The sequence below is a fragment of the Homo sapiens genome, chromosome 4 (assembly GCF_000001405.40).
Source record: "Homo sapiens chromosome 4, GRCh38.p14 Primary Assembly".
Classification (NCBI taxonomy): domain Eukaryota; kingdom Metazoa; phylum Chordata; class Mammalia; order Primates; family Hominidae; genus Homo; species Homo sapiens.
Window position 1 is genome coordinate 155,868,040 of NC_000004.12, and position 17,814 is coordinate 155,885,853.

Consider the following 17,814-nt stretch of genomic DNA (forward strand, 5'->3'; position numbering starts at 1 on the left):
ATGCTTTCATGGGTTGGCATTGAGTGTCTGGAGCTTTTCCAGGTGCATGGTGCAAGCTATTGATGGAGCTAACATTCTGGGGTCTGGAGAACAGTGGCCCTCTTCTCACAGCCCTCTTCTCACTCTTTGTGGGGGCTCCAACCCCACATTTCCCTCCTGCACTGCCCTAGCAGAGGTTCTCCATGAGGGCCCTGCCCCTGTAGCACTCTTCTGCCTGAACATCCAGGTGTTTCCATATATCATCTGAAATCTAGGTGAAGGTTCCCAAATCTAAATTCTTGACTTCTGTGCACCTACATGCTCAACATCACATGGAAGCTGCCAAGGCTTTGGGCTTGCACCCTCTGAAGCCATGGCCTGAGTTGTACCTTGGCCCTTTTAGCCATGGCTGGAACAGCTGGGAAACAGGACACCAAGATCCTAAGCTGCTCATAGCAGGGGGACCCTGGTCCTGGCCCACAAAACCATTTTTTTCTCCTAGGCCTCTGGGCCTGTGATGGGAGGGGCTGCCATAAAGGTCTCTGACATGTCCTGAAGACATTTTCCCCACTATCTTGCTGATTAACAAATAATAAGGGGAAAGCAAGCTTCTTCTTAAACTTATTTACTCAAATTTGTTCCTCTCTTCTATGATATTTAAAAACAGTAAATGTATTTGCTCTTTCTCACACAAATCTGGTAACTCCTCATCTCTCTTTTACTTTAAAATTAGCTTTTAAACACTTTTCTCCTTCTGTCTTTAGCTTTGAAAGTACTTCATTCTCACTTCTACCTTATTACTGATTTTGGTAAATTTAAATTCCATCTTCTCTGTTGAGTTAGGAAATCTCCTTCCATTTTCCTTCATCTCCCCTAATTGAAATCAAAGCCAGTATCCTCTTCACAGTTATACCTTGCTTCTCCTTTGTGACCTCAAGTTCCTTAACTTTCTAAGATATCTCATTAAAAACAAATATGGAAGTGCCCACTTTCCTTCCTTCTACTTCATCTGGTCATTAAAGTTGTTTTGAATAGCAAATGTGTTTGACAAAGGTAGATTTTCATTGAGAGGGACTTGTAAAAAAAAATAAGAAAAAAATTTAAAAAGATAGATTTCAAATTTTCTTCCTCTCTCCCATACCACCCAAATACCTACACACATAAGGTAGGTAATTACATGACAAAACAAAACCCAGTGAAAATCTAGAGTTCTGAATAATTATTATCCAATACCTCTGAACAGGTAGCATCAACAATAACAAGAAAAAAAAACTACCTATTAGTGTTAATAAATGCAAAGGATGAAATTAAAAAGCATGCATAGAAAAACAATGCAACCAACTTTTATCTGACCCTGCATTTGAAATTAGAGCCTAAGCAACATTAAAAACAATATGCAGTGTCTAGAGGAGTATATTCTTTCTGACCCATTACCAGTTATATAGACACATAAATATGTGTTAGTCAAATATTTCCTGTTAATTCTATTTTTAAAAAGTCTTATGTGTTTTAATACAAATTTTGATTCTGTTAAATTGGCATATATCTAAAGGTATAAAAAATCTTTGACTAATACTTTTTAATTTAGCTTTAAATTAAAATTTTATATTTTATTTTCTGTTGGTGATACATGACCATTAATAATGATATAATTAATCTTTTTAGATTTAGACAAACAAGATAGTGCCTACAAGGCCTGCAAACAAAGACAATCTAAGGAATGCTTTTTTAAAAATCTGAAATAGATATTTTATTCTTAATCTCAGAAGGAAAAACCAAAGCAACCTCACAGCTTAGAATGTTTTTAAAGTAATAAATAGTTCAGTGGTGTCTTGCTTTGGGTCTGTAATAATACAAAAGACAGAACTAATAGGGCCATTTCTGTTATGGACTATGCATAAGTGTTGTTGGTTAGTGTTTTTATTACAATATTTTTATAGAGCTCTAGGTGGAAGAAATTAGCCACGGTATATCTATTCAAAGCAAACAAATTCATGCATCTGAAATAATTCCATGTAGTGAGGAAAGAGACTACAAAATATCAAATCCAGTACTTATTATCATTCCCCACCCTCATCTATTTAACAATGGAAGCTCAGAAATAAGGAGAAAGAATGGAAGTTCTACAAAGGAAGGACTTTTTGCCTGTTTTGTTTGTTTAGCTATCCAACTGCAAAGAAAAATGATGCTCAATGAGTGAGTAAGTCCGTCCCTGGGCTGGGCGTAGTAGCTCACACTTGTAATCTGAGCACTTTGGGAGGCCAAAGTGGGGAGATCACGTGAGGTGAGGAGTTCGAGACCAGCCTGGAAAACATGGGGAAACCTTATCTCTACTAAAAATACAAAAATTAGCTCAGCCTTGTGGTGCACACCTGTAATCCCAGCTACTCAGGAGGCTGAGGCATGAGAATCACTTGAACCCAGGAGGCAGAGGTTACAGTAAGCTGGAATCAGACCACTGCACTCCAGACTAGGTGACAGAGCAAGATTCAGCCTCAAAAAAAATTTTTTCAAAAAAAGAAGTTTGTCCTTTTTATTGCATATTATGATGAAAATTATTGTAATTTTTCAAACATTTTATTTTAAAAAGTACAAACTTATGGCAAAGTTACAAAAATTGTACAAGGAATACCCACATATACTTTACTTTAATTCAATGATTTTTAACATTTTCCCACATTTGCTGTATCTTCATTATTAAATGTATGAACTTCCCATCTCTTAAGCAGGATATCCTCCTGCATAAATACAATATAGTGATCTCATTTAGAAAACTTAACTTTTATACAGCACTTTATGTAATATGCAATTCATATTCAAATTTTCAAAATTCTTCCTCAAATTAAATTTATGATGTTTAATTTTCCTAATCCAGAACACAATCAAGAATCACAGCTGACATTTAGTTTGCATGTCTATTAGTCTCCCTTAATCCAGAAAATTTCCCTAGACATTAATTAATTTTTTTATTTTTTTGTCTTATCATTACATTGCTATTTTCAAAGTATCCATCTCAGAGGCTTTGCAAAATGCCTCTCAGTTAAGAGTTGTTTTCTTCTTCATGATTAAGTTCAGGTCAAATACCTACAATAGGAATAATGCATAGGTGATATTGTATCCTTCACAGTGCGTGTACATATCAGGAAGCATGTGATCTCAGGTTCTCCTATATTTGGTGACAGTAATTTTGATCTCTTGATTAAGGAGATGTCTGCAAAATTTCTACTTTGTAAATGTACCTTTTTCTTTTTGTAACTAACAAGTAATCTGTAGAGGCAGTTATTTTAGGTTAGAGTATTTTGTTCCCGATCTTTCACACAATGTTATTAGCATAAATCAATGAATCCTGTCTGAAATAATTACTTTTATGATGTTTCAAGATGATGACTTTTCAGTTTCTAGCATTCTTTCTATATTTATTTGTTGGCACTCATTTGTATAAAAGAACGTCATCTTCTGATGTTCCTAATTTTTAAATGTTTTTAAATGTATTTGTGGACTCATGGATTATTTCAATATTTTATGCATTATAACCTATGCTGTGGTTACTCATTTAAGAAATTCTTCAGATTGGCACCTTTTCTAGAAAGACTAATTAAAATGAGTTTACTCATTGTATTAGTCTGTTCTCACACTGCTAATAAAGACATACCTGATACTAGGTAATTTATAAAGGAAAGAGGTTTAATTGATGCACAGTTCCACATGCCTGGGGAGGCCTCATAATCATGGCAGAAGATGAATGAGGACAAAGTACCATCTTACATGAGAGCAGGCAAGAAGACGTGTGCAGGGGAACTCTCCTTTATAAAATCGTCAGGTCTTGTGAGACTTATTCACTGTCATGAGAACAGCATGGGAAAGACCCACCCCCATGATTCAATTACCTCCCGTCAGGTTCCACCCATTGTTTTAGAAACAAAAAACAAAAAACCGGGTTCTTGTCACAGGACCAGAAAACGTTAAGCACACAGACACTTTGAAGGGTGAGGGGGAATGGAATTTATTGGATGAAAAGGAAAACTAATTCTCACCAAAGCAAGATAGAGTCCTGTTTGCAGGTCTCCCATCTCACAGATTGAATCCCAAGTTCCCACCCAGGAACAGGAGAGGCCAGGCTCCTCCCCACTGCAAACAACATGCACTTCCAAGGTTCCATCCCATCCTCCCAGTGCACAGGTGGGCACTATTCAGAAAGAATCAGTCAGGAAAGGGCAGGCTTCATCCCGGACCAGCAGTGTGGTTCTTCAGCCTTCAGGCTATCTTAGGCTTGAAGGCAGGGTTTCACTGGGGGACCCTTGGCTGCCTCCTGTCTCTATCATTTCCCCCTCTAAAGAAGTATACCTAACTGCTGTTGGAATAAGGATAAGGACAAAGACTCATCTGAACTGCTTTCTGCTGACAGGGGGCACTGCTTGGGGAAAACGGCAGTCAGAGCTCCCTCAGAAGCCTATCAAAGGGTCCCTGGCAAAAGGGGCCCTCATCCAAGTCTCCAGTTGCATGAACGTTTGGAGTTTGATTGCCTGAAGGTGAGAAATAAACCAGGTTATAGAAAACATGTATCAAAACAAAATGGGGGTGGGGTTGAGGACAGCTAAAAAATTCTGAGGCCTTTTACCAGTTTGCACAGGGAGAGGGAGGCCAAAAACCTAACTGGTAAAAAAAAAAAAAAAAACTTTTACCCTTTAGCCAGCATGTCAGGCTTCTGGGTTCCCTTCCCCTGAGCCCAATCCTAAGCAAACTAGGTTAAAGTTTGAGAAATTAACTCTCCCCAGTTTGGAGAATGCATCTGGGTGAGGTGTCCCATAGTACGGAAACACAATTACCTATCTGTGAAGAGAGGACAGAGGAGAAACACGAAAAAAGAAGGGTCTTTTTTTTCAAAGGGGTCCTAGAAACTCAGGATGCATTTGAAAGGGGTACAGATGGCCGGGTGCAGTGGCTCATGCCTGTAATCTCAGCACTTTGAGAGGTCGAGGCAAGCAGATCACCTAAGGTCAGGAGTTTGAGACCAGCCTGGCCAACATGGTGAAACCCTGTCTCTACTAAAAATACAAACATTAGCCAAGCATGGTGGTGCATGCCTGTAATCCCAGCTACTCGAGAGGCTGAGGCAAGAGAATTGCTGGAACCCAGGAGGTGGAGGTTGTAGTGAGGCAAGATCACGCTGCTGCACTCTAGCCTGGGCAACAAGAGTGAAACTCTGTCTCAAAAAAAAAAAAAAAAAAAAAAAGAAAGAAAGGTATACAGACTAATGATGAATGGCTACTCATCTACAAAAAGGGGAGCAGATTCCTCCTTCCTTGTATCCCCAAGTCCCAGATACTGTGACAGGGTGGGTGTCAAAGTGGTCTTCACTTGTGTTAACAGGGGGGTCTGGGGGTGAGAGTATTCGCTTTTACCCTTGTATACCCTATCTCCCCTGCTGTCCATAGCCTTTGGATTCTCCAGACCTCATTTATGCCATGGATACTAGTGTGACCTTTATTCATGAAATGGGAAGCTTGGCTTATTCAGCAGGAATCAGTCACACTCATCTGCATTGTGCCTTTTAACTTGCATTATCATCTGCATCTGGGTCCTTCAGATCCAGTTCCCCCTGCCCCCAGGGCTTTGATGTGAAGCTTAGAATTGAGTTTGGGACAAAAATGTGTCTCAGAGGCTAGCATGGATTTCTTATTATAAGCCAAATGCTTAGGTGAGGCTGTGGAATTGAGTCCTCCTCCAACAAGGAAGAGGGCGTCTTGTGACATGCCCAGATAACTGGTGGCTATAGTTATCTTTGCTAAGATTTGGGTGCATGGGGCTTGGCTTTGGTTAGCTCCCTTGGTCTTACTTTCCCAAAAAGGAAACCTCCAGGTGATGGGCATCCTATTTATTCCCATCACCTGGCAGGATTTGCAGGCTAATTGCTCAGAACTAGAATGTTGATCCAAAATTTTGACATTACCCATCCCTTTTACTCCTTCTGAGCTTTAGTTGGAGATTACTGGTTGGTTCACAGGAACAAGCAGGGTTACTCTAAAATGTAGGCAAAAACTTAAAAACAACTGATGAGTCTAGAATTTAATAACAAATGTGTGATAAGTTTTGAAACATAATTTCTCTCTCTCCAATCCTCAATTTTGTTTAAAAAAAATCATGATAGGGATGAGTTGTTTGTAAAATAGACTTTAATCTTACACTTGGGCTGAGTGTTTGCATAAAGTGCAGAAGGAATAACTATTTCTACATAGGCCTTTTACATTGGTTTTGATGGAAATCTGTTCCACGAGGAATCTCAGATAAGACTTTTTAAAGCCAAGCCCAGCCATCAGTTTATATGCTCAAATACCTGTGAGTTGGGTAATCGTCTCCTCTTAAGGTCCCAAGATAAACTTGGAGCTCCTGAGCCTGTAAGAAAGTGACATTCTTTACTAACCACAGGTCAGAAACCCTGTAGAGGGACTGTGTAGACAAGGGTATGAGGCCAGTTTTCTCAAGAAACTCTTATCGGCTCTGCAAGTTGAGCTTGACTCCTTAAAAGGAAGCATACCCTTCCAGTCAACACCTTGGTAAAAAAACTAGTTTATCAATTGCACCCTCTTGCAAAAGAAAATGGATTCTTATTGCACTGATGCAAACATTTATATTGCCATAAGTTAAGAATATTCACAACTAGTTTGCAAATTCTGGAGAAGCCAGGCAGAGAGACAAACATGCTCTGTATTTTGTTGACAGGAGTATACCTTACTCAATTATTAAAAGTCATAAATAGTTCAAAATAAGTTTCCTTGACTCTGAAAAAAAAACAAGGATCAGCAATATTCCAAGCAAAAGTCAAAAAGATTGCCTCAGTTTTTTTATGGGTTTGTGAATATTTTAGCTCTTCATGAGTTCTGTGTGTTTTCCCTTTATTCCAAAGTTATCAGAAACCTGTATTTGAGAGCACCTGTCAGAGTTCTACAGCTTATTATAAGCCATCTTTTGAAAAGAATTAAAACAAGAAAATTGTCTGTGAATAACAAAATGTCCAGGTTAGTTACAGTTAGAAACACAATTGACAAAGAAGCTTGGTTATCTCTGTCATTTACAATTATTTAACATAAAAACCTTAATTATGATAGCGTATACTCAGACATTAGAATTTTTAAAATCCCATACAAATTTGAAACACATATTAGTATTATTTACCAAAATATAACCTAAAGAATATTGAACACCATTTTGGTAATCTCATATACCTAAATATGTCAAATAATCCTGTTTTCCTCTCTTTTGGATACTCCAAGGGCTCTCTGAAGCATCAAAAAGCCAGGCATCAGGAAAGAAAATTTTGAAACTGAATTTGATTTTCAGAAGCCTGTTAAATGTGTTAGCGGTTTAAAACACTTGATATTATGAAATAGAACTCCAGATTACCTTGTTATTTATTTTGCCAAAATGATGAATCAGAAATTTAAAAAACAAAAAACTTTTTATAACCCCTTAAAAATTTTGCTAAAGAGCAGATTAGTGCCTTAAGAGAACCTTGTTTTGCTTTTACTTTAATGCTCAATTTACAAGAAAACCATATAATATCCTTTTGAATTTAGTCAATATGTTCACATATTGAATTTTTGCAAGATTAATTTGTACAATTCCTTTACAACTTGTTTGGACTTTTAGCTTTATCTTATCAAATTCAAAACAATCTTTTAAACCTAAGCAAGAACTTACATTTCCACACCTTCTTATAATCTTTTACTAAAAACACATCCTACTGTTCTTATACAGCTTGCATGTAAATCTATTTCCAGTAGTTTCAATTACATGTTATAATGGTTACTCCTAGCAATTTTTAACTTTAATGTAAAACTTGGTAAGTTGTTTTGATTATGTGCTAGGTGCATCCAAGGTTTGACTAATTCCAGCATAATTAAGGGCGTGGTTATTTCTATATGTCCCCAGGCCTTACCAATTGTGGAGCAGGCAAGACAAATAGTTCTCAAAACCCAAAAAGCAGTTTATGACCTTAAAACATTTAGCAAACCTAGCAGTTGACCTGCATAATTTAGTCCACCTATTTATATTTTGATGACATCTGCACTTTACCAATAATCTTTTAGGCTGTTTAAATTTTTTGAAGATGAAAGTCATATGAACTGAAAGGTACCACAGCTTTTATTTTACCCTTTAAAAAATATTTGATCCAAGCACTTATCTTCTTTTAGGCCAATTAATTAGACCTTTTTTTTAAATAGACATTACACACCCAACACATATATAACTACACAGACAGGAAGAAGAAAACCCAGTAGCCATACGATTTTTCATTTTCTGATCTTCTATTTGGATTATTGGTCCCTTTAAGAGGGAGGGCTAGGAAAACAAGCAGCTTTTAGAGCCTAATAGGCAGGCATTACTGGGAGGCGAAAAGAGATTTTGAGAGGGATCTATCCACTTTTAATTCCTGGGGTTCAATGAGGAAGACAGAGATCTCTCCCCTCTCTTGTGTGCATTAAAATTGGCAAAGCAGAATGGAGAAAAATAATACAGCCAACTGAGAAAAAGCCGTTTTCCAGCAAAGCAAGATCCCAGAAGAGAAAAAAATAAAATAAAACAAAAAGGCCTTTTAAATATACCTGTAACTTAGATATTCATCTTTAATTTAGTTGAGCACTCCTTAAGAAAATCCTTTTAAATCTCCTATTACCTGACTTTAGCCATACCAAGAAGCCAGTATTTCAGCCTTTCAAACTTTACTAAAGCCTCAGAGAAAGGAAAATCCAAGATGGTTCATGGAGGAGAAGAGAATCAACAAATAGAAAAGTTACACAGATATCAAACCTGAAAGGACTCAGTTGCTAAGCCATGACTGAACCTGGGTTGTGCAGAGGCTAAGCAAAACATTGCCATGGAGTTACACGTCATGCCCCCAAGTCCATAAACCAAGATGGAGGCCTGCAGCAAAGTTCACTGCTGACCATACAGAAAGTCATGCAAAGGCCTGGAGTTGTGGCTCATACCTATAATCCCAGCACTTTGGGAGGCCAAGGCAGGTGAACCACCTGAGGTCGGGAGTTTGCGACCAGCCTGGCCAACATGGTGAAATCCGGTCTCTACTAAAAATACAAAAATTAGCTGGGTGTGGTGGTGCATGCATGCCTGTAATCACAGCTATTTGAGAGGGTAAGGCAGGATGATCACTTGAGAGAGAGAAGTGGAAGTTGCACTGAGCTGAGATGGTGCCACTGCACTCCAGCCTGGGTGACAGAGTGACACTCCATCTTTAAAAAAAAAAAAGAAAATCATGCAAAGCATACCAGATTGGCTACAGCTTAAAACCAACCTCATAAAGAATTTGTCACAATTAAAACTCTACAGAAAATATAAACAATGATCCCCATCACTCCTGGCCTAGCAAAACATCTTCCAAAAGGAAAAAAAACAAAAAACAAAAACCCTTGCTTAAGTCAACTGCTGACCCAGTGGAGAAAAGGAAAAGACGTTTAAATGCAGGGCTGTGTTACCTGTTGACAGGGTGGAGAAAAGAAAAGATACCTGTGGAAGAACCTCTTATTCTTATGCAAATAGTTTCCTCCACAAGGGAGATATATTTAATTGCAGTCAATCAGAGTACAATTTTTGGCCGGGGGAGGGGAAGGCTCCATGGTTGCATGGCAGGGAGCATTGACCAGCCTGCTGTTGGGCACCCTTGGGCCATGCAGCCCAGCCCTGGCAGGGAGGGGAGCGAGGAACCCACCATTTATTTGCCCATCCTGTGTATGCCTGCAGCCATCAGGGTGGGGTAGTGCACAATTTCCTCTCCCCTCAGAAGAGGTCTGAGGAGAAAAAGGCTTAGAAGCAAAAGGAAAAAAGATGTGTTGGTTTGCACGGTACTCACCCTTCCTCAAGCCGAATGTTGGCCACCAAAAATGTTGTAGAAAAAAACTGGGTTCTTGTCACACAACCAGGAAAAGTTAGGCACACAGACACGTTAAAGGTTGAAGGGGAACAAAATTTATTTTATTAGGCAAAAAGGAAAACTAACTCTCAGCAAAGCAGGAAAGAGTCCTGTGAGCAGGTTTCCCACCTCACAAACTGAATCCCAGGTCCCCACCCAGGAACAGGAGAAGCCAGGCTCCACCCCCCACAAATGACATGCATTTCCTGAGGCTACGTCCCATTCTTCCAGTGCACAGCTGGGCATTATTCAGAGTCAATCAGGAAAGGGCGGGCTTCATCCAGATTGGCAGTCTGGTTTTTCAGCCTTCAGGCTGTTTTAGACTTGAAGGTAGGGTTTCACAGGGGTGGAGGGGGCTGGGGTAGGTGGGTTATGAAGGGTAGCGGAACCTTTGGCTGCCTCCTGTCTCTATCATCATGACATTTGGGAGCTACAATTCAAGATGAGATTTGGGTGGGGACACAGCCAAATCATATTATTCTGCCCCTCTCCCCTCCTAAATCTCATGTCCTCACATTTCCAAATCAATCACACCTTCCCAACAGTCCCCCAAAGTCTTAACTCATTTCAGGATTAACTCAAAAGTCCACAGTCCAAAGTCTCAGTCTGAGACAAGGCAAGTTCCTTTCACCTATGAGCCTGTAAGATCAAAAACAAACTAGTTACTTCCTAGATACAATAGGGGTACAGGCATTCAGTTAATACAACTATTCCATGGGAGAAATTGGTCAAAATGAAGGGGCTACAGGCCCCATGCAAGTCCAAAATCCAGCAAGGCAGTCAAATTGTAAAGCTCCAAAATGATCTCCTTTGACTCATGTCTCACAGTCACGTTGTACTGATGCAAGAGGCCGGTTCCCATGGTCTTGGGGCACCTCTGCCCCTGTGGCTTTGCAGGGGCTGTCCCCTTCCTGGCTGCTTTTACAGGCTGGCATTGAGTGTCTGCAGCTTTTTCAGGTACACAGTGCAAGCTGTCAGTGGATCTACCATTCAGGGGTCTGGAGAATTTTGGCCCTCTTCTCACAACTCCACTAGGCAATACTCCAGTGGGGACTCTGTGGGAGCTGGAACCCCTCATTTCCCTTCTGCACTGCCCTAGCAGAGGTTCTCCATGAGGACTCTGCCCCTGCAGCACACCTCTGCCTGGATATCCAGGCATTTCCATACATCCTCTGAAATCTAGGCGGAAGTTCCCAAAACTCAATTCTTTTTATTTATTTATTTATTTATTTATTTATTTATTTATTATTATTATACTTTAAGTTTTAGGGTACATGTGCACAATGTGCAGGTTAGTTACATATGTATACATGTGCCATGCTGGTGCGCTGCACCAACTAACTCGTCATCTAGCATTAGGTATATCTCCCAATGCTATCCCTCCCCCTCCCCCCACCCCACAACAGTCCCCAGAGTGTGATGTTCCCCTTGCTGTGTCCATGTGTTCTCATTGTTCAACTCCCACCTATGAGTCAGAATATGCAGTGTTTGGTTTTTTGTTCTTGCGATAGTTTACTGAGAATGATGATTTCCAATTTCATCCATGATTTCTGTGTACCCACCGGCTCGTCCTGAGACTGCACAAAGCAGCAAGGCCCTGGGCCTGGCCCATAAAACCATTTATTCCTCCTAGGCCTCCCTGCTTGTGATGAGAGGGGCTGCCATGAAGATCTCTGACATGCCATGGAGACATTTTTCCCATTGTCTTGGCAATTAACATTTGACTCCTCATTACTTATGCAAATTTCTACAGCTCACTTGAATTTCTCCTCAGAAAATGAGTTTTTCTTTTCTATGGCATCATCAGGCTGCAAATTTTCTGAACTTTTATGCTCTGCTTCCCTTTTAAACATAAGTTCCAATTCCAAACCATATTGTTGTGCATACATAAAACTCAATACTTTTAATAGTACCCAAGTAACCTCTTGAACACTTTTCTCCTTAGAAATATTTCTTGCACCAGATGTCCTAATTCATCACTCTCAGGTTCAAAGTTCCACAGACCTCCAGGGCAGGGGCAAAATGCCACCAGTCTCTGCTAAAACATAGCAAGAGTCACCTTTGCTCTAGTTTCCAACAAGTTTCTCATGCCCATCTGAGACTACCTCAGCTTGGACTTTATTGTTCATATCACTATCAGCATTTTATTCAACAATTCTCTAGAATGTTCCAAACTTTCCCACATCTCCCTGTCTTCTTCTGAGCCTTCCAAACTGTTCCAAGCTCTGCCTGTTACCCAGTTCCAAAGTCACTTCCATGTTTTTGGGTATCTTTATCGCAGCTCCCCACTCTACCGGTACCAATTTACTGTATTAGTCTGTTCTCACGCTGCTAATAATGACATACCTGAGACTAGGTAATTTATAAAGGAAAGAGGTTTAATGGACTCAGTTCCACATGGCTGGGGATGTCTTACAATCATGGCAGAAGGCAAATGACAAAGTCCCATCTTACATGGCAGCAGGCAAGAGGACATGTGCAAGGGAGCTCCCCTTAATAAAACCATCAGATCTCGTGATACTTATTCACTATCATGAGAACAGCAAGGGAAAGACCTGCTCCCATGATTCAGTTACCTGCTACTGGGTCCCTCCCCCAACATGTGGAAATCACAGGAGCTACAATTCAAGATGAGATTTGGGTAGGGACCAAGCAAAACCATATCACTCATTTTCCACAATTATCTATTAAAAGTAAATAATGTAAATATATTTTGGAAGAAAAAAACATTGCTAATTTAATAACTCAAACTTGTAATGCTTTAAAATTGGGTTTCCCAATTTAAAGCACCAACATGTTTAGCTGTAGAAAAGGAGATAGAGTTCCTGACCATTATAGCTCTCGATAATTTGAGTGGTTATGAAGAGAGACTTAAGGCAACATATAGAAATACTAGCTTCTGGATGCTCTTTTTAAATAAGAATTTACTTATGTTATATTTATTTTATACTTTTCTATCATATATACTACCAGTCAAAATCCTAAACTTCTTGGGTCAAAACAGAAGTGAATCACATACTGCTTATTTCTTTATTCCATTTTTTGTACATGACCGTAGCTAGCAAGATGTTGAACTTGTTCAATTCTTTTGATTTTTACTTTCATGTACTGATTGCATGAAATGTTCATCCTTAGATCTTTAAATATAGGAAGCAACTCTTTTTAAAAATAATATGCACAGGAGTAATATACATAAGTAAATACTACATGCCTGTGATATCATTATCAACAAACATTTATTAAATGTGCCATGGATATATCCTAATCATTTGTACTTTTTTTTTTTTTTGAGATGGAATCTCACTCTGTTGCCCAGGCTGGAGTGCAGTGGCACCATCTCCGCTCACTGCAACGTCTGCCTCCTGGGTTCAGGTGATTCTCCTGCCTCAACCTCCTGAGTAGCTGGGATTATAGGCGTGTGACACCACACCGGGCTAATTTTTGTATTTTTAGTAGAGATGGGGTTTCACCATATTGGTCAGGCTGGTCTTGAACTCCTGACCTCGTGATCCACCTGCCTCGGCCTCCCAAAGTGCTAGGATTGCAGGCGTGAGCCACCGTGCTCAGCCTCATTTGTACTTTTTAAAAAGCCCATACCTAGCTGGTATGTTCAGTCTTTTGAAAACAAAAGGCTTTTGGGAACCTGTTGATGAGTTTCTTATTTCAGTTCTCCAGTTTCTTGGGCAGTTACTGGTTCAGTTTGTGGGAGGTTTCTGTTTGTCACTCAGCTGCAGCCACACCATTAGTGGGACAGCTTCAGTTTAAAACAACTCCATGGTTTGCCATAAATATTGAAAGTATTCCTATTATTGGTCAAGAGATGGGGAAGGACTCCACTAATGCTTAACTTGTAGGCCCATTAGCTTGCCAAATTATGTGTCCACACAGTACATGATTTCATGGGTCAAGGTGACTTGGACAGGGTTTCTTCAAATATTCTCCCTGCAGTTTTAAGTTTCGTTTTCTCAACTCTGATCTCTTATCTCTGTGTACTAGAACATCAGGGAGACATTTACCTGACTGTCAATTATTTAGAACAAAAATATTGATTTCTCATCATTTCCATAACTTTGGGCACTATTCTAGTAGAAGGTTATTAGTTGTGTGGTAAATGCATTTTCTAAAAAAATAGATCAAAATAAAACAAAAATAACTCAAAGATAGCAAAATAAACAATAGAACATTGAAAAGGCACAATTCCTGGGTGATAATATAACATAAATGATTGTCAATTTTTTCTCATGTAGATTTTACACACTGTAGTAAAATAGTATTTCCCAAAATTCATGTCCATCCAGAACTTTAAATTATGACCTTGTTTGGAAATAGGATCTTTATAGTTATAGTTATTTAAGGATACCAAGGTCCTGCAAAGAGTAAAACAGTATTTCCCAAAATCCATGTCCATCTAGAATCTCAGAATGTGACTTTCTTTGGAAATAATTTTTTGTTTGTTTGTTTTGTTTTGTTTTGAGACAGAGTCTCACTCTATTGCCAGGCTGGAGTGCAGTGGCATGATCTCAGCTCACTGCAACCTCTGCCTCCCGGGTTCAAGCAATTCTCCTGCCTCAGCCTCCTGAGTAGCTGGGACTACAGTTGCATGCCACAACACCCAGCTAATTTTTGTATTTTTAGTAGACATGGGGTTTCACCATGTTGGCCAGGATGGTCTCGATCTCTTGACCTCGTGATCTGCCCACCTCAACCTCCCAAAGTGGTGGGATTCAGGCGTGAGCCACTGTGCCCGGCCAAGATTTTTATAAATATAATTATTTAAGGATCTCAAGATCCTGGACTTAAGGTGGTTCTTAAATCCGAATAACTGGTGTCTTCATAAAAGACCAAAAAGAGAAGAATACTTGGACACAGAAAAGTGCAGAAAGGAAAGCTGTGTGAAGATGGAGGTGAAGCAGAGGTGAAGTTAATGCTGCCGCATGCTCAGGAATGCTAAAAGCTACCAGAAGCTGGAAAGGGTAATGAACATAGTGATCAGCTGTGTCAAATGTTGCTGATGGGTCAAGCACAATGAGGCCTGAATATTGACCATTGATTTCAGCAATGTGGCAGTGTTAGAAAAGTGGTAGAAGCAAATAACAAACCACTGTCTTGAGGAGTTTTACTACTAAGCAAAACAATAAAATGGTGCCGACACGGAAAATGTAACCAATAAAAGTTTTTTCATAAATTAGAGACATAATACCATTTTTATAAATTTATAAATTCGTAAGTATAAATGCCCTAAAAAGTAAATATGTGGGAGGAAGAAGGCCTATTTGTCAGAGCACAATTCTTGAGGAGTTCGATGAATCATGATTTAACACCCAAATAGAGAGTTTGCAATAGATAGTTCATTTGTGATATGAACATAGGAATTCAGATTATATGGGAATACATACTAGGAGGCTATAGATATCAAAATGGTAATATTCCTCTGATTATTTGAAATTTCTTAGTGAAAAAGATATCAGAGTAATCAGCTGAAAGTAGAAATAGAGGTTTGAGAGAGAGGCTAAGGTGTGAAAATTGATAAAATCAATGGTCTAGTAGGCCAGCCACAGTGGCTCACACCTGTAATCCTAACAGTTTGGGAGGACAAGGCAGGTGGGTCACTTGAGGCCAGGAGTTTGAGATCAGCCTGGCCAACATGGCAAAACCCCACCTTTAATAAAAATACAAAAATTATCCACATGTGGTGGCATGCACCTGTAGTTGCAGCTACTCAGGATGCTGAGGCACAAGAATCGCTTGAACTTGGGAGGCAGAGATTGCAGTGACCCATTATTGTGCCACTGTACTCCAGACTGTGTGACAGAGAGAGATGTGATGCTGTCTCAAAACTAACACAAAAACAAAAACAAAAGAATGATCTCAAAATGTATCGCGTGATGTCCTAGCAATGTGGAGAGTCCACTTGACATTCATGGTTATGATTTTAAACTGAATCTAGTAAATTTGGTTTTGAGTTTTTGTTTATTTTTTTTTCTCCAGCCACATTCAGTTGCCAGAGAGCAGGCACCAAATCACTGGAGAGTGCAATTTATCCAGGATAGAATTTTGGCTCTAGAAGTGTGACCAAGTGAGAGAGAACAAGAGAACTGAGAGTAAATGGCAAGGAGTGACTGAAATCACTAATCATTAATCGCCATGTGCAACAAGGTGAGAGTGGGGCAAGCACACTCAAGGGGTGAAGGACAGAGAAACGTTAGTTAGTTCAGTGCATCAGAGATCCCAGAAAGATTGCTGAGGTCAGGATGGTAAAACAAGTAAGCTGTAAACAGAAAGATGGTGGGCAGAAAACGGTATGCAGGGAGTTAAAATTATAAAGAGTGACAGTTATTTGTTGTAGAAAAGTCCAGGATGGAGACATCCAGTAGAAATATAGTTCGAGACACATATATAATTTTGGATTTTCCTGTAAAAATGTAGAAAGAAATAAGCAAAATTTAGTTTTTTTTTTTTTTTTTTTTGAGACGGAGTCTTACTCTATAGCCCAGGCTGGGGTACAGTGGTGTGATCTCGGCTCACTGCCCAGGCTGGGGTGCAGTGGTACAATCTCGGCTCACTGCAACCTCCACCTCCCTTGTTCAAGCGTTTCTCTTGCCTCAGCCTCCCAAGTAGCTGGGACTACAGATGTGCACCACCATGCCCGGCTAATTTTTGTATTTTTAATGAAGTTGGAGTGTCACTATGTTGGCCAGGTTGATCTCACAATCGTGACGTCAGGTGATCCGCCTGCCTCTGCCTCCCAAAGTGCTAGGATTACAGGTGTGAGCCACCACGCCTGGCCTTAAAATTTAATTTTAAGAATAGATTTCATTTGACCAAACAATCAATATAAGAATTGTTCAGGAGCTATTTTCCATCTGTTTTAGTGCTTACTGTTTGAAATCTGGTGTATATTTTACACTCACATCTCGATTTGAACCTGCCACATTTCATGTGCTCAATAGCCACCTGTGGCTGGTGGCTATGGCAAAAATTCTGAGACCAGTTCTTTCCTTGAGAACTTTTAACTTGATATAACCTCTCTCCTAAAGAAAGCATTAGGTACTTTAAAGAATTCCTAAGTGAATGAGGTTGTTTTCTGTCTGCATTTGTAAATATCTAGTCAGATAACGATTGCAAAGGACAACTGAAGTAACCAAATAGTTAATAACAATTCTGGGTGTTTACAATACACAAAGCAAACACCAACCTTTACCAGGATAAACATGTTTCTCAGGCAGGACACCAAGGCAGGTGGCTAAAAAAAAAATGAAATCTATTGGTATACACATATTGCAGTGTTGCTGAGAAATTATTATCGATGCATGAAATGGATTTAACAATCAATGAGAGAACAATGGGTCTTTACCTTCTATAAAATAAAATCTGTCCCTGGTTGGTGGCAGCAGCTGAAGGTTTGCAGGGCATGTGGTTCTTTTGAACTAGCCTTTTTAGCCTAAGATAAGGGAAAGCTTTTGCTTAAAATAAGCTACAAGGCCCCCAGGTCAGAACAATAATTTGAATTAAAAAACAAACAAACAAAAACAAGTTAAAAGCTGCCATTAATTTTGAGTTTATTTTTATAGACTTTCTTCTTTGAACATTTTGTGGTTCTCCTACTTATCATTATTATAGTTCATCAAGTTGATAATATTTTGTCAAGTAGTTTGAATTAACTTTAAGATAATATACTCTTTTAGGAGACAAAGCAACTTCATCAGTGGCAAGCAGCTTAACAGAGTAGAGAGAATGCACAGTATTTGAAATCAGATGAGATTTGAATTCTGGCTCTATCATTTACTGACTGTGTAACCAAGTATGCGTATTTTCTAAAAGATAGATTAATCATTTTTTTTCTATCTTTATTTTCTTTTCTTGTTTCCCTGGTTCCCCACTTCCTACTCAGCCCTTTAGAAATGCAAATA

The 17,814-nt window shown here is 39.3% G+C and overlaps 1 long non-coding RNA gene across 1 annotated transcript in view; it reads left to right on the forward strand.

The window, feature by feature from the left end:
• The window catches only part of LOC105377507 (uncharacterized), a 29,228-nt gene extending 13,306 nt beyond the window's left edge, over positions 1-15,922 (forward strand). Inside the window, exon 4 of the long non-coding RNA XR_001741901.2 lies at positions 15,893-15,922. This is a non-coding gene — a long non-coding RNA (uncharacterized LOC105377507). The remainder of the gene's footprint in view (positions 1-15,892) is intronic.
• Positions 15,923-17,814: the final 1,892 nt, after the last annotated feature.